This window comes from Homo sapiens, chromosome 17 (genome assembly GCF_000001405.40).
Source record: "Homo sapiens chromosome 17, GRCh38.p14 Primary Assembly".
Classification (NCBI taxonomy): Eukaryota; Metazoa; Chordata; class Mammalia; order Primates; family Hominidae; genus Homo; species Homo sapiens.
Genome location: NC_000017.11, coordinates 75823852 through 75844649, shown reverse-complemented (window position 1 = coordinate 75844649; position 20798 = coordinate 75823852). Strand labels below are relative to the sequence as shown.

At 59.2% G+C, this 20798-nt stretch overlaps 2 protein-coding genes across 12 annotated transcripts in view, besides 10 other annotated features; one reads left to right on the top strand and one right to left on the bottom strand.

The window, feature by feature from the left end:
* Positions 7-66: a silencer, noted in NCBI's record as "silent region_8987". NCBI's record gives its function as "represses an Ori minimal core promoter by ATAC-STARR-seq in GM12878 lymphoblastoid cells {active_cell/tissue: GM12878}" and the evidence as "EXISTENCE:reporter gene assay evidence [ECO:0000049][PMID:35858748]".
* Positions 7-729: a biological region, named in NCBI's record as "H3K4me1 hESC enhancer GRCh37_chr17:73840002-73840706".
* Positions 25-729: an enhancer, noted in NCBI's record as "H3K4me1 hESC enhancer chr17:73840002-73840706 (GRCh37/hg19 assembly coordinates)". NCBI's record gives its function as "activates a minimal SCP1, AML or CMV promoter by ChIP-STARR-seq in primed H9 embryonic stem cells {active_cell/tissue: H9 hESC(primed)}" and the evidence as "EXISTENCE:reporter gene assay evidence [ECO:0000049][PMID:30033119]".
* On the top strand, positions 246-17425 carry UNC13D (unc-13 homolog D). Its single transcript, NM_199242.3, has 32 exons — positions 246-429; positions 1131-1166; positions 1384-1491; positions 1577-1636; positions 1727-1793; positions 2037-2217; positions 3649-3693; positions 3820-3888; positions 4074-4143; positions 4321-4425; positions 4540-4632; positions 4708-4811; positions 7732-7849; positions 7954-8078; positions 8221-8311; positions 8394-8450; positions 8541-8638; positions 8744-8795; positions 8873-9003; positions 9121-9241; positions 9587-9730; positions 9934-10032; positions 10119-10325; positions 10507-10575; positions 11605-11684; positions 13302-13407; positions 13481-13552; positions 13989-14072; positions 14168-14288; positions 14499-14622; positions 15667-15863; positions 16564-17425. Exons 1-32 carry the CDS (start codon positions 313-315, stop codon positions 16683-16685), a joined length of 3273 nt encoding a protein of 1090 aa, NP_954712.1. The 5' UTR covers positions 246-312; the 3' UTR covers positions 16686-17425.
* Positions 917-976: a silencer, noted in NCBI's record as "silent region_8986". NCBI's record gives its function as "represses an Ori minimal core promoter by ATAC-STARR-seq in GM12878 lymphoblastoid cells {active_cell/tissue: GM12878}" and the evidence as "EXISTENCE:reporter gene assay evidence [ECO:0000049][PMID:35858748]".
* Positions 5565-6064: an enhancer, noted in NCBI's record as "H3K4me1 hESC enhancer chr17:73834667-73835166 (GRCh37/hg19 assembly coordinates)". NCBI's record gives its function as "activates a minimal SCP1, AML or CMV promoter by ChIP-STARR-seq in naive H9 embryonic stem cells {active_cell/tissue: H9 hESC(naive)}" and the evidence as "EXISTENCE:reporter gene assay evidence [ECO:0000049][PMID:30033119]".
* Positions 7413-8413: an enhancer, noted in NCBI's record as "H3K4me1 hESC enhancer chr17:73832318-73833318 (GRCh37/hg19 assembly coordinates)". NCBI's record gives its function as "activates a minimal SCP1, AML or CMV promoter by ChIP-STARR-seq in primed H9 embryonic stem cells {active_cell/tissue: H9 hESC(primed)}" and the evidence as "EXISTENCE:reporter gene assay evidence [ECO:0000049][PMID:30033119]".
* Positions 8915-9415: an enhancer, noted in NCBI's record as "H3K4me1 hESC enhancer chr17:73831316-73831816 (GRCh37/hg19 assembly coordinates)". NCBI's record gives its function as "activates a minimal SCP1, AML or CMV promoter by ChIP-STARR-seq in naive H9 embryonic stem cells {active_cell/tissue: H9 hESC(naive)}" and the evidence as "EXISTENCE:reporter gene assay evidence [ECO:0000049][PMID:30033119]".
* Positions 12925-13912: an enhancer, noted in NCBI's record as "H3K27ac-H3K4me1 hESC enhancer chr17:73826819-73827806 (GRCh37/hg19 assembly coordinates)". NCBI's record gives its function as "activates a minimal SCP1, AML or CMV promoter by ChIP-STARR-seq in naive H9 embryonic stem cells {active_cell/tissue: H9 hESC(naive)}" and the evidence as "EXISTENCE:reporter gene assay evidence [ECO:0000049][PMID:30033119]".
* Positions 13913-14901: an enhancer, noted in NCBI's record as "H3K27ac-H3K4me1 hESC enhancer chr17:73825830-73826818 (GRCh37/hg19 assembly coordinates)". NCBI's record gives its function as "activates a minimal SCP1, AML or CMV promoter by ChIP-STARR-seq in naive H9 embryonic stem cells {active_cell/tissue: H9 hESC(naive)}" and the evidence as "EXISTENCE:reporter gene assay evidence [ECO:0000049][PMID:30033119]".
* Positions 13948-14242: an enhancer, noted in NCBI's record as "tiled region #1193; HepG2 Activating non-DNase unmatched - State 12:CtcfO, and K562 Activating non-DNase unmatched - State 14:Gen5'". NCBI's record gives its function as "activates a minimal TATA promoter and a strong SV40 promoter by Sharpr-MPRA in HepG2 and K562 cells {active_cell/tissue: HepG2 | K562}" and the evidence as "EXISTENCE:reporter gene assay evidence [ECO:0000049][PMID:27701403]".
* UNK (unk zinc finger) overlaps positions 18851-20798 on the bottom strand; it is a 40994-nt gene continuing 39046 nt past the window's right edge. For all 11 annotated transcript variants that reach the window (XM_047436965.1, XM_011525400.2, NM_001080419.3 and 8 more), the window contains one exon: positions 18851-20388. In XM_047436965.1, coding sequence (XP_047292921.1) covers positions 20233-20388 — 156 coding nt within the window. In that variant the 3' untranslated portion in view covers positions 18851-20232. The remainder of the gene's footprint in view (positions 20389-20798) is intronic.

Here is a 20798-nt window from a genome sequence, read left to right as displayed (position 1 = left end):
CCCCCTGCTGAGAGCGTTGTCCCCTTCCCAGGGCCTCTGTAGGAGGGTGGGGCGGGGCCAGGCCTGCCCACGGGGTCCACCTTCTGCTCCAGCCAGAGGAGGGTCCTGTAGGGATCCCAGCTGGGGAAGGTGCAGGGGGCCTGGGAGACTGCCTCTCCGAAGCGGTGAAACCCTCACCCTTCCGTCCCTCCCAGCCACCCTCCCTAAAACTTCCCCTGACAGAGGGTGGCAGCCCCAGGCTCTTTGCATAATCCTGTGGCTTCGCTGTCTTCACCCAGCACCAGCGGACAGGGAAGGGCAGAGAAGGCCACCATGGCGACACTCCTCTCCCATCCGCAGCAGCGCCCTCCCTTCTTGCGCCAGGCCATCAAGATAAGGCGCCGCAGAGTCAGAGATCTACAGGATCCCCCGCCCCAAATGGCCCCGGAGGTAGGAGTGACCTCACTGGGGAGAGAGCTGGCCTTGGGGAGCACTGTGGTCTCGGGTACGGGTGCCCTGCTGTCTGGCCCCACCTCTCGAAGGCTGGGACTGGGGACCAGCGACCCTCCCCTGCCTACTCCACCCTGGGGAGAGCCCCCTGGGCCAGCAGAGCAGGGGCTGCCAGATGGACTCTGGGCCACTGTGGGCCTCAGGCCCTGTGGTCTGAGGCTCTCAGAACCCCTCCCTCCCGGTTGGCCTGACCCCATCCCCTACTCCTCCAGCTTCAGAAGAGCCGACTCCATTAGGTGGGGGTGTCCCTGCTGTGGGGTGAGCTGTTCGGGGAGCAGCAGACCCCCAGGCCGACGTGGCACCCCCCTCACCTCCGCTGCCGAGCCTCACTTCCGCTGCTGGGTGAGGAGCAGCCGCCACTGATAAGCAGAGCTGTTTCCTCTGGGGAAGGGAGGGAGGTGGGGTGCGGGTGCGGAGGGCTCGCGCTGCTGGGCACCCATGGACCTCAGCCACGGCGGGCCCAGGGACGGACCTCCAGGAGGCCTGCTGGGGGAACAGGTGCGGGGCATCACTGGGGCTGGAGGCCGGGGTGCTGGGGCCCCCATACCCTTGGCCTGGATCAGGCCTCAGAGGAGCCATTCCTGTCCATCTGAGCCTGCTCTGGGCCTCCCGGGACACTGCCTTTCCACCTTGCTCTGCAGATCCAGCCTCCATCCCACCACTTCTCCCCCGAGCAGGTAAGAGTCAGAGTGCTGGGGTGCAGAGAGGTGGGGAGGGCGGCTGTGTGTCCTCCTGCCGGCCGACGCTGATGGCAGCAAGCAACTTGCGGTGGGGAGGGGACTCCTGGGTCTCAACTCCCTCCGCTGCACAAGCCGCCCTTGTCCTGCCCATGGCGAGAGGTGTTGGTGCCAGGGGTGGCTGGTGGGGTCCCCAAGGTGACCCCGTGTGTCTTAGCGGGCCCTGCTCTACGAGGACGCACTCTACACTGTCTTGCACCGCCTGGGTCATCCTGAGCCCAACCATGTGACGGAGGCCTCTGAGCTGCTGCGATACCTGCAGGAGGTGAGCCCGGCTCCCACCCCACCCCCCTTCCTGCAGCTGCCCTGTCTGGTGCCCCCAGCCACCCACCCGCCTGCCTCCCCACCAGGCCTTCCACGTGGAGCCCGAGGAGCACCAGCAGACACTGCAGCGGGTCAGGGAGCTTGAGGTAACCTGGGGCCAGGGTCCCCCTGGGCAAGGAGGGGCCTGGGAAGCCCAGCCCCCTCAGGGACTCAGGCCATCCCTCCTGTCCCTCCAGAAGCCAATATTTTGTCTGAAGGCAACAGTGAAACAGGCCAAGGGCATTCTGGGCAAAGATGTCAGTGGTGAGCATGGGGTGGGGTCCCCAAGGGGCTTCTTCCTGGCTCCTTCCTCTCCCATCACAGCCTGGCCCAGGACTCTTGGCGGGAGCACCCACTTCCAAGAAGCCCTGTAGCGCTGGCCCCCCATGCTGCTGGTCCCCTTCCCTCTCCCCCGGAGGAGGCTCAGCCCCGGGCGGGGGTGATGAGGGCCTCTCCCAGGGACCCAGCCGACTCCCTGGCTGCCTCGTCTTCCCCACTCCTCCACAGGGTTCAGCGACCCCTACTGCCTGCTGGGCATTGAGCAGGGGGTAGGTGTGCCAGGGGGCAGCCCCGGGTCCCGGCATCGGCAGAAGGCTGTGGTGAGGCACACCATCCCCGAGGAGGAGACCCACCGCACGCAGGTCATCACCCAGACACTCAACCCCGTCTGGGACGAGACCTTCATCCTGTACGTGGCCGTGCTCCAGCCCCCACTCTATCCAGGTCTTTCCTGGGTAGCAGGGTCTGCCCCAGACAATGAGATGAGTAGGTCGTCCTGGCTCAGGGGAGGGGGTTTGGCCCTGGGCAAAGACTAGAGGAGAAGCCCATCTCCAGGCACGTTAGGTGGACAGTAGGTCAGATGGGACAGAACAAGATCAATGCCACACGTGCTGATGGGGCAAGGAGGGTCAGGCCCTTGTGGGTGAGTCTGGGGGTGCCTGAAGCTGTACCTGAAAGGAGGCAGGGATGGGTGCAGTGGTTCCCACCTGTAATCCCAGCACTTTGGGAGGCCAGGAGACTGAGACCAGCCTGGCCAACATGGCAAAACCCCATCTCTACTAAAAATACAAAAAAGGCCGGGCGTGGTGGCTCACGCCTATAATCCCAGCATTTTGGGAGGCTGAGGAGGGCAGATCATGAGGTCAGGAGATTGAGACCATCCTGGCTAACACGGTGAAACCCCGTCTCTACTAAAATACAAAAAATTAGCCGGGCGTGGTGGCAGGCGCCTGTAGTCCCAGCTACTCGGAAGGCTGAGGCAGGGGAATCGCTTGAACCTGGGAGGCGGAGGTTGCAGTGAGCCGAGATAGCACCACTGCACTCCAGCCTGGTGACAGAGCGACACTCTGTCTCAAAAAAAAAAAAAAAAATTAGTGGGGGCCAGGCGCAGGGACTCATGCCTGTAATCCCAGCACTTTTGGGAGGCCGAGGCAGGTGGATCACCTGAGGTCAGGAGTTTGAGACCAGCCTGGCCAACACAATGAAGGCCCACCTCTCCTAAAAGTACAAAAATTAGCCGGGCGTGGAGGTGCATGCCTGTAATCCCAGCTACTTAAGAGGCTGAGGCAGGAGAATCACTTGAACCCGGGAGGCGGAGGTTGCAGTGAGCCGAGATCACGCCACTGCACTCCAGCCTGGGTGACAGAGTGAGACTCTGTCTCAAAAAAAAAAAAAAAAAGGCTGGGCGCGGTGGCTCACGCTTGTAATCCCAGCACTTTGGGAGGCCTAGGCGGGCGGATCACGAGGTCAGAAGCTCAAGACCAGTGTGGCCAACACAGTGAAACCCCGTCTCTACTAAAAATACAAAAATTAGCCAGGTGTGGTGGCGGGCACCTGTAATCCCAGCTACTTGGAAGGCTGAGGCAGGAAAATTGCTTGAACCCAGGAGGCAGAGGTTGCAGTGAGTTAGATCCTGCCACTGCACTCCTCCAGCCTGGGGGACAGAACTAGACTCCATCTCAAAAAAAAAAAAAAAAAAAAAAAAAGGGATGCGGCTGGGAGGAGGGAAGTTTGGCAGGGATAGGCTACAACTCCATGGCTCTGGGCTGTGGTCACTTACTGCTTCGTCTGGGGGCATCCACCCTCCAGGGCCCTCAACCACGCCCTTTTCTCCATACAGGGAGTTTGAGGACATCACCAATGCGAGCTTTCATCTGGACATGTGGTGAGTGACCTGGCCTGCCCCTAGGGATGGGAAGGGAAGGGATCTGGGGTGAGAGAGGCGGAACCTCCTCCTGGAAGAGGTCGTAGGCACTCTCTCTGCTTCCTTCTCAAACCTCTGTCCTGCCAGGGACCTGGACACTGTGGAGTCTGTCCGACAGAAGCTTGGGGAGCTCACGGATCTGCATGGGCTTCGCAGGTTCGTGTTGCAGGGCTCACAGGGAAGGGGTTGGGGCTCCTTTTGCCCTCCATCCCCCAACATGCACACTGGATGCTGGGGTGCAGGCTCCTTTGGGGTCCAGGTGGCTGCGGCCGGGGGTGGATTCCAGCCTAATCCCTTCCGACCCTTGCTGCGTCCCCCTTATGGGACCCTGCCTGACGCAGGATCTTTAAAGAGGCCCGGAAGGACAAAGGCCAGGACGACTTTCTGGGGAACGTGGTTCTGAGGCTGCAGGTGAGGAGGATGAGGAAAGGGGCCCAGGAGCGAGGCAGAGGGAGGGGGTTGGGAGGGGTTCTGGGGAGAGGCTCTGTGTCCTCACAAAGCTGAGCCTGGGGTCCACCTCCTGTCGCCTCCGCTGCCCCGACTCTATGAGGTTCTGACGCTCACGGGCTGGGCATCCCCGCCTGTCAGGACCTGCGCTGCCGAGAGGACCAGTGGTACCCCCTGGAACCCCGCACTGAGACCTACCCAGACCGAGGCCAGTGCCACCTCCAGTTCCAACTCATCCATAAGCGGGTAGGTCGGGTACTGGGCCAGTGGCCATGCCCAGCTCTTGCGGCGGTCTGCTGGGTTGCGGGGCTGGCTGCACCCAGTGTGAGGCCCTGTCTGCTCACAGAGGCCTCATTGCAGAGAGCCACTTCGGCCAGCCGCTCGCAGCCGAGCTACACCGTGCACCTCCACCTCCTGCAGCAGCTTGTGTCCCACGAGGTCACCCAGCACGAGGTATTGCCCTCCTGGGGCTGGGCGCAGCCGGGGCTGCCCTTCAGGTCCTGACACTCCTCCACCTGCTCCCCTCAGGCGGGAAGCACCTCCTGGGACGGGTCGCTGAGTCCCCAGGCTGCCACCGTCCTCTTTCTGCACGCCACACAGAAGGACCTATCCGACTTCCACCAGTCCATGGCGTGAGTACACAGCCCTGGGCAGAACCCCTGAGCCACCAGCCCCCCACGCCCCCTGCCCTCCTCCAAGCCGGTAGCCCAAAGTGTAATTCTCAGCAGAGTTCCCTTTGGCCCAAAATGTGTGTTTTAAGTTTTGAATCAGTTGCCAATTTTAAAAAGTCTAGAGATTCGGCTGATGCGGTGGCTCACTCCTGTAATCCCAGGACTTTGGGAGGCTGAGGCAGGAGGATCACTTGAGCCCAGGATTTCAAGGCTGCAGTGAGCTATGATCACACCAACACTCCTGCCCGGATCACAGAGTGAGACCTCATTTCCAAAAAATATTAGAAAAAGCTATCTGGAGATTTGACATACCATCCAGATCTCCAGCTTCTCATGAAACACAAGTGCTGGAACTGCAGGGTCATCATTTTGCTGCTTTTTTTTTTTTTTTTTGAAACGGAGTTTCACCCTTGTTGCCCAGGCTGGAGTGGAATGGTGCAATCTTGACTCACTGCATGCAACCTCTGCCTTCCAGGTTCAAGTGATTCTCCTGCCTCAGCCTCCCGAGTAGCTGGGATTACAGGCATGCGCCACCACGCCCAGCTAACTTTGTATTTTTAGTAGAGACGGGGTTTCTCCATGTTGGTCAAGCTGGTCTCCAACTCCCGACCTCAGGTGATCTGCCTGCCTTGGCCTCTCAAAGTGCTGAGATTATAGGCATGAGCCACTGCACCGAGCCATTTTGCTGCTTTTTTTTTTTGAGACAGAGTCTTGCTCTTTCGCCCAGGCCGGAGTGCAGTGGCACGATCTTGGCTCACTGCAGGCTCCGCCTCCTGGGTTCACGCCATTCTCCTGCCTCAGCCTCCCGAGTAGCTGGGACTACAGGCGCCAGCCACCGCGCCCGGCTAATTTTTTGTATTTTTAGTAGAGATGGGGTTTCACCGTGTTAGCCAGGATGGTCTCGATCTCCTGACCTCATGATCCGCCCGCCTTGGCCTCCCAAAGTGCTGGGATTATAGGCGCGTGCCACCGCGCCCAGCCTTTGCTGCTTTTTTGAGTGGACAGAGCGGAGCGATGTGTGTGCCTCTGCCCATCATGGCTGCCATTGGGCCCACTTCAGTTGCTTTCGTCTCCTGAGTCCTGGGCATTTGAATTTGGACCCGGTCCCTAACCCCAGCCCCGCTTCCCAATGCCATAGCCTTCAACTCAGCAAAACTACGCGCTGATAAGGACAAATCTATGTTGAGGGCAACTCACGTCAAGTCCTAGGAATGCCGGGGAGGGCACAGGGGGTCACAGCCATTCCAGTGCATGTGAGTAGGGCAGAGATGGGACATAGCCGGCCGGGCACGGTGGCTCGCGCCTGGAATCCCAGCACTTTGGGAGGCCGAGACAGGCAGATCACTTGAAGTCAGGAGTTTGAGACCAGCCTGGCCAACATGGTGAAATCCTGTCTCTACAAAATATAGAAAAATTAGTCAGGTGTGGGGGCGCATGTCTGTAATCCCAGCTACTCGGGAGGGTGAGGCACGAGAATCACTTGAACCCGGGAGGTGGAGGTTGCAGTGACCTGAGATCACACCACTGCACTCCAGCCTGGGCGACACAGCGAGGCTCTGTCTCAAAAAAAAAAAAAAAGAGATGGGACACAGCCAAGTGCTGGCCAGGGGAGGAACAGGAGCAGGATGCCGACTCAGGCCTGGGCTGTGACTTGGAGTCTGAGTGGGAGGCGGAGGGAGCCCAGGGGAGTGCATTTCTGGGCTGGGGTCAGCTTGTGTACTGCTAGGACCTCAGGCAGGTGGGTGATTCGGAGACAAGGGTGGAATGGTGGTGCGGCTGGAGACTGGAGCAGGCACCAGATGGGGAGGGACCTGGTTTGCCTGCAGGGCCCAAGCACAGTAATGCAGGTGGCTGCAGTGTCCAATAGGGACTTCGGCCTGTCCCCAGGCTGCTCCTCTCCCCCATCCTCTGCCCTCCCACGGGACCTCGTTTGTGTGATATCCCCCCAAACCATCTGAAAGGAAGTTCTCACTGATGCTTGCCACATGTGCACGAAGGCTCAGGTTCATAGATCCTATTTTTCTTTTCTTTTCTTTTTTTTTTTTGAGCTGGAGTTTCCCTCTTGTCGCCCAGGCTGGAGTGCCATGGCACAATCTCAGCTCACTGCAACTTCTGCCTCCCAGGTTCAAGTGATTCTCTTGTCTCAGCCTCCCAAGTAGCTGGGACTACAGGTGCCTGCCATCACACCTGGCTAAATTTTGTATTTTTGGTAGAGATGGGGTTTCACTATGTTGGCCAGGCTGGTCTCAAACTCCTGACCTCAGGTGATCCACCCGCCTCGGCCTCCAAAAGTCCTGGGATTACAGGTGTGAGCCACTGTGCCCAGCTAATCCAATTTTTCAAAAACAGCAAGAAATCCTGAAGTTTTAAAATCACAAAGATCTCAATCTGGGCAATTTGAAAAGCATCTATGGAAACAAAGAAAAAAAATCCTGGCTGGTCACAGTGACTCATGTCTGTAATCCCAGAACTTTGGGAGGCCGAGGCGGGTGGATCACTTGAGGTCAGGTGTTCGAGACCAGCCTGGCCAACATGGTGAAACCCCATCTCTACTAAAAATAAAAAATTTAGCTGGGCATGGTGGTACATGCCTGTAGTCCCAGCTACTTGGGAGGCTGAGGCTGGAGAATCGCTTGAACCCAGGAGGCGCAGGTTGCAGTGAGCCGAGATCACGCCACTGCACTCCAGCCTGGGTGACGGAGTGAGACTACATCTCAAAAAAAAAAACACAAAACAAAAACAATCCTGCATGTCCTGTTGAGCCACTAGTTTTCAGCCTGTACTGGTGGATGGGAGGCGATTCCCCCCACCTGAGGCCGGGTGAACAGGGGAAGGCAATTTCCTCCTCCCTGTCCAGCTGAGGGCTTCCTGTCCCCTGCAGGCAGTGGCTGGCCTACAGCCGCCTCTACCAGAGCCTGGAGTTCCCCAGCAGCTGCCTCCTGCACCCCATCACCAGCATCGAGTACCAGTGGATCCAGGGTCGGCTCAAGGCAGAACAGGTAGGCATGCAGTGGCAAGGGGCACTGAGCAGGCAGGGCTCAGGGAAGGGGCAGGGGAGCAGCAGCAGCTGTCTAGGCCCCTAAAGCATCTCCTGGCTCTTCAGCAGGAGGAGCTGGCCGCCTCATTCAGCTCCCTGCTGACCTACGGCCTCTCCCTCATCCGGAGGTTCCGCTCTGTCTTCCCCCTCTCTGTCTCGGACTCCCCAGCCCGGCTGCAGTCTCTTCTCAGGTCAGTGGCTGCCTTCCTCTTCCTCGGTGGGGTCAGGGATGAGGGAGCAGCTGGGGTGCCTGCAGGAGTGGGAGAATTGTTGGAGGAGTGAGTGCAGTGTGGGGCAGCAGGCACTTTCGACACAGCTCTTTCCATCTTGCAGGGTCCTGGTACAGATGTGCAAGATGAAGGCCTTTGGAGAACTGTGCCCCAACACCGCCCCATTGCCCCAGCTGGTGACTGAGGCCCTGCAGGTATGGTACTCGCGCTGGGGATGGGGGAGACCAGCGCCTGGGCCTGGCAGTCCCTCCCTGCTCACTGCCTCTTTGTCGACAGACTGGCACCACTGAATGGTTCCACCTGAAGCAGCAGCACCATCAACCCATGGTGCAGGTGAGGGGCTGGGCAAGGGGGAGGGCAGGGGGTCACGGGGGGTGGTGCCTGCCTCTGGCAGCCCTGCCCAGCCCACCTCTGTCTCTGCAGGGCATCCCGGAGGCAGGCAAGGCCTTGCTGGGCCTGGTACAGGATGTCATTGGCGACCTGCACCAGTGCCAGCGCACATGGGACAAGATCTTCCACAAGTGAGCAGATAGCCAGGTCGGGAGGTAGTGGGGCATTGCCTCAGAGCCGGAACCATGGGGACCCTGGTGTATGCCACTGGGTGACACCTGCTGCCTTTCCTCCAGTACCCTCAAGATCCACCTCTTCTCCATGGCTTTCCGGGAGCTGCAGTGGCTGGTGAGTCCCTCCCCCGTCTCTAGGGCATGCCCTCCAACAGAGCTGTGGGCCCCGCCCTCCACACCTTTCCTTTGCAGGTGGCCAAGCGGGTGCAGGACCACACGACGGTTGTGGGTGATGTAGTGTCCCCAGAGATGGGCGAGAGTCTGTTCCAGCTCTACATCAGCCTCAAGGAGCTCTGCCAGCTGCGCATGAGCTCCTCAGAGAGGTGGGCAGCAGGCCAATTGTGGGCGGCTGCAGGGGCACAGGGGAGGGGAGGGTGGACGAGGCCCCAGGGTCCATGGTGGCCCCAGCCTTCCCGACGCTGAGCCCCGGCAATCCCCAGGGATGGAGTCCTGGCCCTGGATAATTTCCACCGCTGGTTCCAGCCGGCCATCCCCTCCTGGCTGCAGAAGACGTACAACGAGGCCCTGGCGCGGGTGCAGCGCGCTGTGCAGATGGATGAGGTGGGGGCGTGGCCAGGGCAGGGGGCGGGGCCCCGGTTTGGGGGTGAGGCTTGGGTTCTGCCTGGACCTCCAAAGCGTAGTAAAAGCCAGTAACCCGCTCTGAACATCCCTTTTGGGTGCACTTGAGTCCAGTTTTGTGCAAAACGCTGCCTCTGGATATCCTTGGGGCTGTGGCTTCACTTTGCCTGAGATCCTGCAGCCTGGGGGTCTGGGCGGAGCCGTGCTTGTCTCTTGTGAAGCTCCCTGCCCAGCTCTGTGCCTGGTGATGGTAGCTGCTCTATGAATGAAGGAAGGAGGGAAGGGGGTGGATTTGGCAGTATCCTGAGTCCTCCTTTCTTCCCCCAGCTGGTGCCCCTGGGTGAACTGACCAAGCACAGCACATCAGCGGTGGATCTATCCACCTGCTTTGCCCAGATCAGCCACACTGCCCGGCAGCTGGACTGGCCAGACCCAGAGGAGGCCTTCATGATTACCGTCAAGTTTGTGGAGGTGCGGCATCTTCCACGTGTCCTTCCCCCTCTTTCTAGAACAGCCACACTACCACCCACCGTTTCTCCCGTGCTCTCACCCAGGCAGCCTCCCAAGGCCTGTATTCTAAATCCCCCAAGTCGCTGAAATTCCCATGCCCTCCCACCTGCCCTTCCTGGATGCCCCACCCATGGATCAGTTCCCTCTGTCCAACCCCACCCTAGGACACCTGTCGCCTGGCCCTGGTGTACTGCAGCCTTATAAAGGCCCGGGCCCGCGAGCTCTCTTCAGGCCAGAAGGACCAAGGCCAGGCAGCCAACATGGTAAGGCCAGAGCTGGGGCTGGGAGTCTAGCTGGGTGTGGGGACCAGCCTGGGCACAGTTCAGGAAGCTCTGCATCTCTGTCCCAGCTGTGTGTGGTGGTGAATGACATGGAGCAGCTGCGGCTGGTGATCGGCAAGTTGCCCGCCCAGCTGGCATGGGAGGCCCTGGAGCAGCGGGTAGGGGCCGTGCTGGAGCAGGGGCAGCTGCAGAACACGCTGCATGCCCAGCTGCAGAGCGCGCTGGCCGGGCTGGGCCATGAGATCCGCACTGGCGTCCGCACCCTGGCCGAGCAGGTACCTTGTCCGACCGCACAGTCACCCCATCCCATCCCGTCTTCAGCCTACCTGGCTCCAGCAGCACCTGGGCCAAGGTCCAACCCTGACCCCTTCGTGCGTCTAAACTCAGGCCCTAAGGAACTCTTCCATCCCCGACTCATGCCCTGACCTCCCTCCTTCTTCCGTTTTGTGTCTCCAGTTGGAGGTGGGCATCGCCAAGCACATCCAGAAACTGGTGGGCGTCAGGGAGTCTGTCCTGCCTGAGGATGTAAGTGGCCCTTCTGCCTGCTGGCCTTCACCACCCTGCCAGCTCTGTAGATCTGGGGTCATTGAAGGCCTTGGTGTCAAAGATAAGTCCCCCAGACCAGGCAAAGCATGTTCTCTCCCTGGGCCTCAGTTTCCTCCTGGGATGCTCACAGGAACGGGTTGGGTCACTCCACTGGCTGTCCCAGCACTGACAGTCAATGAGGGGGCTGCAGTTGGGGACGGCTTAGACTTTGCAGCCAAACAGGCCAGGGTGCACATCCTTCTCAGCTGCCTCCTAGCTTTGCCGTCCTGTTCACACAAGCCAGCTGACCTGTAAGTGGGGGCATATCATGATGCACACCTTCGACTGGCGGGTAGAAGGATATTCATTCATTCACCAACTATTTATTAGGTCCCCACTTTGTCCTATGCATTGATTTAAGCACTGGGGATAGGTCAGTGAACAATATGACAAAATACCTGCTTTCCTGGAGCCCACGTTCTAGTAGTGGAGGTGAAAAAAGAGCTACATAGTGAGTATCCATAACTATAGTGATAGTTATAGCTGTTAACTCTATGCACAGGCGTGTATGCGCGTGCACACACATGCAGTGTGCTAGATAATGATAAGTCTACAGAGAAAATTTAAAACAGAGAAGCGGCTGAGAAGTGTCAGAGGGTTGTATTTTTAGATGGTGGCCAGGGAAGGCCGTGACAACTGAGCGAAGACCTACGGGAAGCAAGGGGAGGAGGCATGAGAAGTTCTAGGGGAGGAGCATTCCAGGCAGAGGGAACGGCAAGGGCAGAGACCCTGAGGCAGGACCATGCCTGGAAGGTTCCAGGGCTGTAGAGGAGGCCAGTGTGGCTGGGACAGGCTGAGCAACGGAGAGGGGAAGGCAGAGAGGTGGGCAGGCCGGCCTCTTACAGACACTACAAACTGCTCTCACAGAACGGTTCCCAGCCCTGTTTCCTCCCTCCAGGTCAGGGGAAGGGGATGGGGGTGGGGCCAACATGGGCCGGAGCCACACCTGCTCCCCATCTCCCTCCCCAGGCCATTCTGCCCCTGATGAAGTTCCTGGAGGTGGAGCTTTGCTACATGAACACCAACTTGGTGCAGGAGAACTTCAGCAGGTCTGTAGCAGCCCCTGCCCTGGGCGCGCTCGCCACCTCCCCCTCTCCTCCCACGGCCCCTCCTTCCTGGGCCCCAGCATCCGTTCTGAGGGGTGTAGCAGCCCCTGCCCTGGGCGCGCTCGCCACCTCCCCCTCTCCTCCCACGGCCCCTCTTTCCTGGGCCTCAGCATCCGTTCTGAGGGGTGGAGGTGAATCCCTTTGGTGACCTCCCTTATGGGTGCAACAGGCTCTGCTAAGGCTCGCTGCAGGGACGGGGAGCTTGCCACTTCTCAGGCCTCCCCATTTCCTGCTGCCTAGCTCTGAGTGCTTTGAGTTCTTCCTTAGGCTGAGCCAAAATCTACCTGTCCTTTCTCCTTTAGTCCCAGGCCTGTCTTCAGGGCCTCCCTGCCTGCTCCTCTGCCCCCATTAGGTTACAGGTGGTCCCTGCCCACGGTGCAGGGAGAACTTCTAGCTAGGGTGTCTTATAGCAGGGACCCAGCATGCCAGGCAACAGGCGGTGGAGTCCAGCACATGGGCTCTGGACCACCTGGGTTCAGACTCCGGCTTCATCACTGCTTAGCAGCCTTGGGCAAGTTCCCGGTGCAGATGAGAGTAGTTCTGGCTTCTGTTGAGGATTAAATGGGTCATGTGAGGTGCTGAGCGTGGTGTCAGTACAAAGGAAGTGGTCAGTGACTATTAGCGGTAGTGACGATGATGATGACAGCGCCCCACCTCCCTGTGGAATCTGGGCCCTGAAGAGGCCGCAGCCCTCCTAGAGTTCTGTTCCACCCCCAGAGGTATAAGCCAGGGCCCCTCGGAGCCCGGCCGTTTTTATTTCTTAAACCATGTATATATATTTTTTATTTTTTTGAGACGGAGTCTCGCTCTGTCGCCCAGGCTGGAGTGCAGTGGCGCGATCTCAGCTCACTGCAACCTCCGCCTCCGGGTTCAAGTGATTCCCTGCCTCAGCCTGCTGAGTAACTGGGACTACAGGTGCATGCCATTATGCCTGGCTAATTGTTTTTTTGAGATGGAGTCTTGCTCTGTTGCCAGGCCAGAGTGCAGTGGTGCAATCTTGGCTCACTGCAACCTCCGCCTCCTGGGTTCAAGCGATTCTCCTGCCTCAGCCTCCCAAGTAGCTGGGACTACAGGCACGTGCCACAATGCCTGGCTAATTTTTGTATTTTTAGTAGAGACGGGGTTTCACCATGTTGGCCAGGATGGTCTCAATCTCTTGACCTCCTGATCCACCCACCTCGACCTCCCAAAGTGCTGGGATTACAGGCGTGAGCCACCACGCCCGGCCTGGTTCTGTCTTAAATCATGGTTGTCACTGGGGGCCTGGCCTCCTCCCTGTCTCCAGCCTTGTTTGTGCATTCCGTTAGTGTGCTGGGGAGGGTTCCTCACTGAGGTTGAGAGGTGTGTTGGATAGGACTGATCCCACCTGCCCCTTGCTGGTCCTGTACCCACCCTCTCCCCAGCCTCACCTGGGGTGGGAGGCGGAGGGGGAGGTTGGGGGTGGGAGGAGCTGGGGTGGGGCTGGGTCACTGAGGCCGCCCCTTTCTCAAGAGCGTCTTTGCTTCCTCCTCCGCCACCGCCCTGCCGTGCTGTGTCCGCATCCCTCCGGCCCCGCCCCAGCCTCCTGACCCTGCTCTGGACCCACACACTCACAGTGCTGGTGGAGGCGGCCGCCTCCCAGCGCAGCTCATCCCTGGCTTCCAACAGGCTGAAGATTGCCCTGCAGGTAACAGAACCGGTCACAGCAATGATAACCCTGGTGGGAGGGTGCCTGGGGTCACCTCTGATATCTCCCCCAGAACCTGGAGATCTGCTTCCACGCTGAGGGCTGTGGCCTGCCACCCAAGGCCCTGCACACTGCCACCTTCCAGGTAGGGGCTTTGGGTGAGCTTCCCCGTAGGAAGTCTGGGGAGCCTGCCTTTTGGCACTCACCTATGTCCAGGGTCGGCTACATAATTTATGGGGCCCAGTACAAAATGAAAAACTGGGCCCCTTATTCAAAAGTTATTACAAATTTTAGAACGGTGACGACAGAACCTGAAACCAAGCCTGGGTCCTCCTAAGCACAGGGGCCCTGTGTGCCCGCATGGGGGGTGGGGTCGGGGAAGCACGCCTGTGAAGCCAGCCCTGTCTGTGCCTCTCCTGCTGTCTGTCTGGCCTGAGGGTGGCCCCAGCCCGTTGTCCCATGACCCAATACTTTCCATTTCAAACGGACATGTTACCCTTGACAGTGAGCTCCTGGAGGGCAGGCCTGGGCTGTGGTTGGGCGTGCAGTCCAGGTGGATCCTCAGCTGTATGTGTTCCCAGGCTCTGCAGAGGGACCTGGAGCTGCAGGCGGCCTCCAGCCGGGAACTCATCCGGAAGTACTTCTGCAGCCGAATCCAGCAGCAGGTGAGGCCCCTCCCTCGCACTGCGCCCTCTGCAGGCCCTGGAGCACCCCGCTCCCGCTGTGACCCTGCTGACCCTGCCCCTGCTCCCCACCCCAGGCAGAAACCACCTCTGAGGAGCTGGGGGCTGTGACAGTCAAGGCCTCCTACCGCGCCTCTGAGCAGAAGCTGCGTGTGGAGCTGCTCAGCGCCTCCAGCCTGCTGCCCCTGGACTCCAATGGTGAGTGGAGGCTGCCTTTGGCCACTCTCCATGGTCCCGTCCTGGCCCTCCTGTCTCAGCGACCCTGGGGGCTTCGCTCACCCTGCAGGAGCTCTGGGTGCATTTCCTCCAGTTACCAGGAGGGGTCAGTGCCGCTGAGCAGAGCATAGCTGCTGGGGTGGGGTGCCTGGGAGACCCTCAGCTGACGCACACTCCCCGGCCACTTACCAGGCTCCAGCGACCCCTTTGTCCAGCTGACCTTGGAGCCCAGGCATGAGTTCCCTGAGCTGGCCGCCCGGGAGACCCAGAAGCACAAGAAGGACCTTCACCCATTGTTTGATGAGACCTTTGAATTGTGAGTGGGTCCCGTTCTTCTCCCAGTCCCTCCCCTCATCTCTCCCCACTGGGCTCCCTCAGGCCTGCTCCTCCTGGCTGGGGCCAAGGGGCTCCCCTGAGATGGCCACATTTGGGCCCAAGGGATGGGGCATCTGGGACAAGAGTTTGCAGCTGGATGTGGTGGCTCACACCTGTCATCACAGCACTTTGGGAGGCCGAGGCAGGCGGATCACTTGAGGTCAGGAGTTCAAGACCAGCCTGGCCAACAGTCTCTACTAAAAATACAAAATTAGCCGGGCATGATGGTGGGTACCTGTACTCTCAGCTACTCGGGAGGCTGAGGCAGGAGAATTGCTTAACCCAGGAGGCAGAGGCTGCTGAGATGGTGCCACTGCACTCCAGCCTGGGCGACAGAGTGAGACTCCATCTCAAAAAAAAAAAAAAAAAAAAAGAGGGCCAGGCGTGGTGGCTCATGCCTGTAATCTCAGCACTTTGGGAGGCCAAGGCGGGCGGATCACGAGGTCAGGAGATCAAGACCATCCTGGCTAACATGGTGAAACCCCGTCTCTACTAAAAACAAAAAATTAGCTGGGTGTGGTGGGACACGCCTGCAGTCCCAGCTACTCGGGAGGCTGAGGCAGGAGAACCACTTGAACCCGGGAGGCGGAGGTTGTAGTGAGCCAAGATGGCGCCACTGCACTCCAGCCTAGGTGACAGAGCAAGACTCCGTCTCAGAAAAAAAAGTTTGCTTCCCTTGGGGGAAGGGGTGGACTCCCAGGTGTTTAACTTAGGGACTTCCAGGGAAGGGTCCTGTCTCTGAGGTTCTCAGTAACCTGCTCCTAGTTCCTCAGCACAGGTGAACAGGGAACACAGGACCGCTGGTTTAAAGCATCAGCCCACGGTCAGAGCAGGCATTGCACCACATGGCTGAGAGGTGCCAGGCTGAGAGCTGGCTTTGCAGTCCAAACCCTGGCTGGTTCCCAACACCAAGTGGGTGAACCCATGTGCCGAGGCTGGGGTGGCTGTGCTGGGGCTGGCAGCAGAGCCCTGACTCTCCCCGCAGCCTGGTGCCTGCTGAGCCGTGCCGCAAGGCTGGGGCATGCCTCCTGCTCACCGTGCTGGACTACGACACGCTGGGGGCCGACGACCTGGAAGGCGAGGCCTTCCTGCCGCTGCGTGAGGTGCCCGGGCTGAGTGGCTCTGAGGAGCCTGGTGAGGTGCCTCAGACCCGCCTGCCCCTCACGTACCCCGCACCCAACGGTAGGCCTGAGCCCAGGGCAGGGTGGTGCGGGGACGGGAGCCTGTAAAGCTCAGGCAGGGGCCCCAGAGAGGTGATGCCAGGGTCGGAGAACAGCTTCCCTGGAGACGGGAGCCAGTGGGACAGCCACGGCCCATCTCTCGGTCTAATCAAGAGACCAGTGAACTTTAAGCTAAGTGTAACGTGACTCTCCTTGCATGGGGAAGTCACCAAGAAGTTTAACTGGGGAGAAGGGCCTGGATCTCACTCGGCGGGGCCGCTTCCCTGCAGAGCATTTTTGATACCAGCAACGGTCTGATGCTTGTGCACTTATTATGAGCAAGTGCTAAGCACTTTATGCATTCCAGCCAACGAAGCAGATATTAGCACTCTTTTACAGATGAGTAAACCGAGGCATGAAAAGGTTAACTTGCTAGCTTTAGGTTCTCGTATAAAAAGGTAATAGTCAAACCTCAGGCACATCTCAGCCCCTCGCTGCAGTCAGGACAGTGTCCCAGCAGCACTCTGTCTGTTACGCGACCCGACCGGATGCGTCTGTCAGACCACCTCCTGGGCTGGGCTGGCGCGGGTCTGTCACTTGTTTCCTTCCAGGTTGTTGGGGAGATGGAGCAGTGTTGTGTACCCCCCCACACACTCTTCTCTGCCACCACCAGGCACTGCCCTCTCCCCTGGCATCTGACCCCCAAACCCCTCTCTCCGCAGGGGACCCAATCCTGCAGCTGCTGGAGGGCCGGAAGGGTGACCGAGAAGCCCAGGTCTTTGTGAGGCTGCGGCGGCACCGGGCCAAGCAGGCCTCCCAGCATGCCTTGCGGCCGGCACCGTAGCCGTAGAGGTTTGCGGTGGGGCTGGGTCCCCGGTGGGGACTTGCAAGGGCTTTCCTGTAGGGTCTGGGGCTTCCCCGCCACATCGCGGCCCTCCAGCCTGGCCTAACACTTGGGGAGCCCCAGCATGCGGAGTGCCCAGAGTGCAGACCTCCCCTGCCTCCCATGGTGATGGGGGCTCAGCAGCGACATCTCTACTCCCGCCTCCCTGCCTCCAGCCCTGGCTGCAATGTCTCTACCACATCCCAGCACCAGGGGGAGCAAACCCTGCCCCTGCCCGCCTCTCAGAAAAGCTGCTGTGGTGGGCAGGGGATTGGGCCATCTGTCTCCTGGCCCTGGCCCATCTGCCTCCTGGCCTTCCTGTTCCAGCCACTGGGGTGGGGGCCAGGTTCACTGGGACCAGGGCTACAGGCACAGAGTCTCCTGGAAAAGGGAGAGGGGACCCTGCCAAAGATGAGGCTCCAGCTGCCCTGGGGGGAGGGTGGTGGCCATTACTAGAGGGGGCCTGGGTCCTCTCCCCAGGGGCTGCCAGCATCCAGGCCAGGAAGCCTGGAGCCAAGAACCTTCTGGCTCTGAGGGAGCAAGAGCTGGCAGGCGGCAGGGCTGGCACAGACAGACGGAAGCAGAAAGGACAGTTTGGCTGCTGTGTCTGCTGCGCACGCCCCCTCCCCGGACAGCACCTGCCACCTAGAAACTTTCTTAGCAAAAAAATTAATAAAAACAAATCCATTGTCCTCTTAAAATATGCCTTTGGCCTACAGTGGGGCCTGGAATGCGAGCCAGGCCGGGTAGCTTCCTCCCCAGCCCTCAGGGGACTTTGAGCTACCGCCACCTTGGGGTAGCTACAAAGCAGGGGGGTAGGTGTGGAAATAACTGAGGCAGAGGCAGGGCTAGGGTGATTTTTGGCCGTGGGCTTTGAATAAATTGCTTTACCAGGCATACCAGTTCCTGTGGTGACACCCAGGACAGGGACCCGTTCCTCGGGGGAGCACAGTGAGCAGGGGCCTCCCAGGGGTGCAGGTTGAGGCTGAGGGGCTGCTCTTGAGACAGTAGGGCGTAGAGGAGCTGGGTCCCTCCCCTGCCTGGGGGGTGTCAGAACCTGAGGCCTGGTCATCACGTCATCCTAGCTGTGTGACCCTGGTTCCATGTCGGAACCTCTGAGTCTGCACAAAATGAGGACAGGAGTCGAGGTTAGCTGAGATGACATCCAAGGCCCGAGACCATGCAAAGAGGATCCCACCAGGGTGTTTTCTCACCCCCCACCGCACAGCCTAGTTGAGGAGGTGGGAGGGAGGACGTACCTCTTAGGCCTCAGCCCCTCATCCCTCAGGGGCAGGGTAGGGTGAAGAAGGCAGAAGGCAGGACTTCCTCTGGGTCCTACCAGCAAATCATCCCAATGGGAAGGCACTGGGTTTTTTGTTTTTGTGATGGAGTCTCACTCTGTCGCCCAGCTGGAGTGCAATGGGGCAATCTCAGCTCACTGCAACCTCTGCGTCCCGGGTTCAAAGGATCCTCCTGCCTCAGCCTCCTGAGTAGCTGGAACTACAGGCATGTGCCACCACACCTGGCTAATTTTTGTATTTTTTTTTTTTTTAGTAGAGACGGGGTTTCACCATTTTGGCCAGGCTGGTCTCGAACTCCTGACCTCAAGTGATCTGCCCGCCTCGGCCTGTTTTTGTTTTTGAGATGGGATCTCACTCTGTCACCCAAGCTGGAGGCAGCTGTGCAATCATGGCTCACTGCCGCCTCGACCTCCTGGGCTCAAGTGATCCTCCCACCTCAGCCTCCCTAGTAGCTGGGACCACAGGCATGCGCCACCATGCCCAGTTGGGAAGACACTGTTCCTCTGAGAAACAGTTACGGGCCCTATTGCCAGTCACCGCTGACCACACAGCCCTAAAGAGTCCTAGGGCCTGGGGGGCCTCTGTGTCCAAGGCTAAGGGTCCCTGTGTCATCAACCGCTAGGCCTAGGTCGGAGAGCACTTGAACTGTCTTGGGGCCTGATGGGCCCAGGAAGTTTCCAGCCCTCTCCAGCTGCCTTACCACAGCTCAGGGGTGTGGGCAGCAGCCGTTTCCATGGCTGAGGCAAGGCTCCTGGCCCACCTCATAGTTCAGAGGCCCTCTTTTGGGACCCACTCCCCCTCACCCCCATGTAAACAAGCTACCACTGCAAGTTCATATTTTATTTCCAATAGGTTTGGAGCTTTGTTGATTTTTGCATTTTTGTAAAAAAGGAAAAAGTTTTCACTTAATTCATTGAAAGCCCTTTCGTGCTGAGCCCAAGGGGGAGCCTGGGCCAGGACCAGACCCTCTCAGCCCTCTTGTTCCTACCGCAGACACCCGGTGCTGGGGGTGCGGCTGCTCCCCTCCGCCCACTCTGCCCTCCCGCCCCTGCTGCATCTCTCTCTGTACAGAACAATTTTTAAAATGGAAGCTAAGACACAATATACACTGGACAGGCACACACACACGCACACAGGCGTCCGCCCAGAACAGGGCGGGACACCAGCTGCACTCAGAGAGCACCAAGGAATGCAAACGGAGCCCCTCCGGGTAGGAGGGCAGGGCCTGGGCCCCCTTGGTCCTCAGTCCTCAGTCCGCACTCCTCCCCGCCAATTGCCCTGCTAGCTGCCAGAGAGGGGAGGGGGCAGGGAGAGCTGGGGGCAGCTGGTTGGGGGCGGTGGTCATAGAATGAGTACCAGCCTGGTAGGCGGCCCTGGGGCCAGGGAGGCTCTTGTGGGGAGTCCGGGGAGGGGCGGCGGGGGGAAGGACTGAGGGTGGACCCTCAGGAACCTGAGGGCTGGAACTCCTGGGCCTTGCCCCTCAAGGAGCTTCAAGGGCCCAGGTGTCAGGAGTGGGGCTGGCCCTGCAGCACTGGCCTCCAGCCCTTGCTGTTCTCCCCAAGACTAAATTAACATTTGGTAAACTTAGGAGCTAAGCCAGCTGAGACCCCCAGCACTCCCCCTCGGGCCTCCCTGAGGCCCTCACAGCTGGGGGCCAGGCCTGCTCTGGGGGACCCACGTCTTCCACACTCCACCCTTGCCCTGGCAAGGAGGTAGGGGGAGCAGGGCCTGCCCTGAGGGCTTCTCCCTTCCCCTTAGTGCCTTCCAGTCCCACCCTTCCCTGCTCAGGCCCCAGGAAGAAGTTAAAAATAGTTAGTTCCTACATTAAAAAAGAGACAGAACCAGATTCTCTGCCAAAAGGCCAGTGGGAGAAGAGGGGATGTCATCTCTGCAGTGGGAAGGGCAGGGAGTGGGTAGGGGAGGACTGCAAAATAGTTTCTTCTTTTAAAAAGTGCTTGGTAAGTCTTTTAAAGTGTGTGTCTATATCTATGTACAGATATACACACAGACACTGTCCACACCACCACGCATACCTGCACACATACGGAAATGTATACATATACATACATACGGAAATGTATACATATACATAATCATATACATATACATACATACATACACATATATATATATATTCATATATATATATATACTTTAAAAAGTCCTAGGTGAGAAGATCTGGGCCAGGCTGGGCCAGGCCTGCAGGGTCACGACTGGAGGGTGTGGGCCCGGCCAGGCTGGCAGATGGGGCACTCGCTGCCCTCAGCGCAGAGCTCACACAGCGCAGCGTGTTGGCACGGCAGCACTGCCCGCTTCTGTTCCTGACACTTAAGGCATTTCACCGACTGCATGTGGAACACGGCCTGCAGGGAAAGGGGCATCGTGGTCACCATCCATGGGTCTGGCCCCAAGTTGAGCGAGGAGTTCCCTTGATCCTCACTGCAGCCCCTTGGGATGGGAAAACTGAGGTACCGAGCTCAACAGTGTGCTCCCAGACCCCTGTTGGCAGGTGAGAGAGCAGGCTGAGTCCACCTCTGCATGGGGCATGGCCAGGCTGCCACAAGACCCACCCCTCAGAGAGGCTTCGCCCAGTCTCATTTGACCTTGTAATCCCCAGATGGGGAAAATGAGGCCCAGAAAGGGCTGGGACATGCCCAGGGCCACACCCGGGGGCTTGGCTGCCCGAGAACAGAGGAAAGACAGCTCTTCCCACCATGCCACGTTGGCCCCGGGGACCCAGCAGGAGACCTGGGAAGGCAGGGGTAGCCCTGGG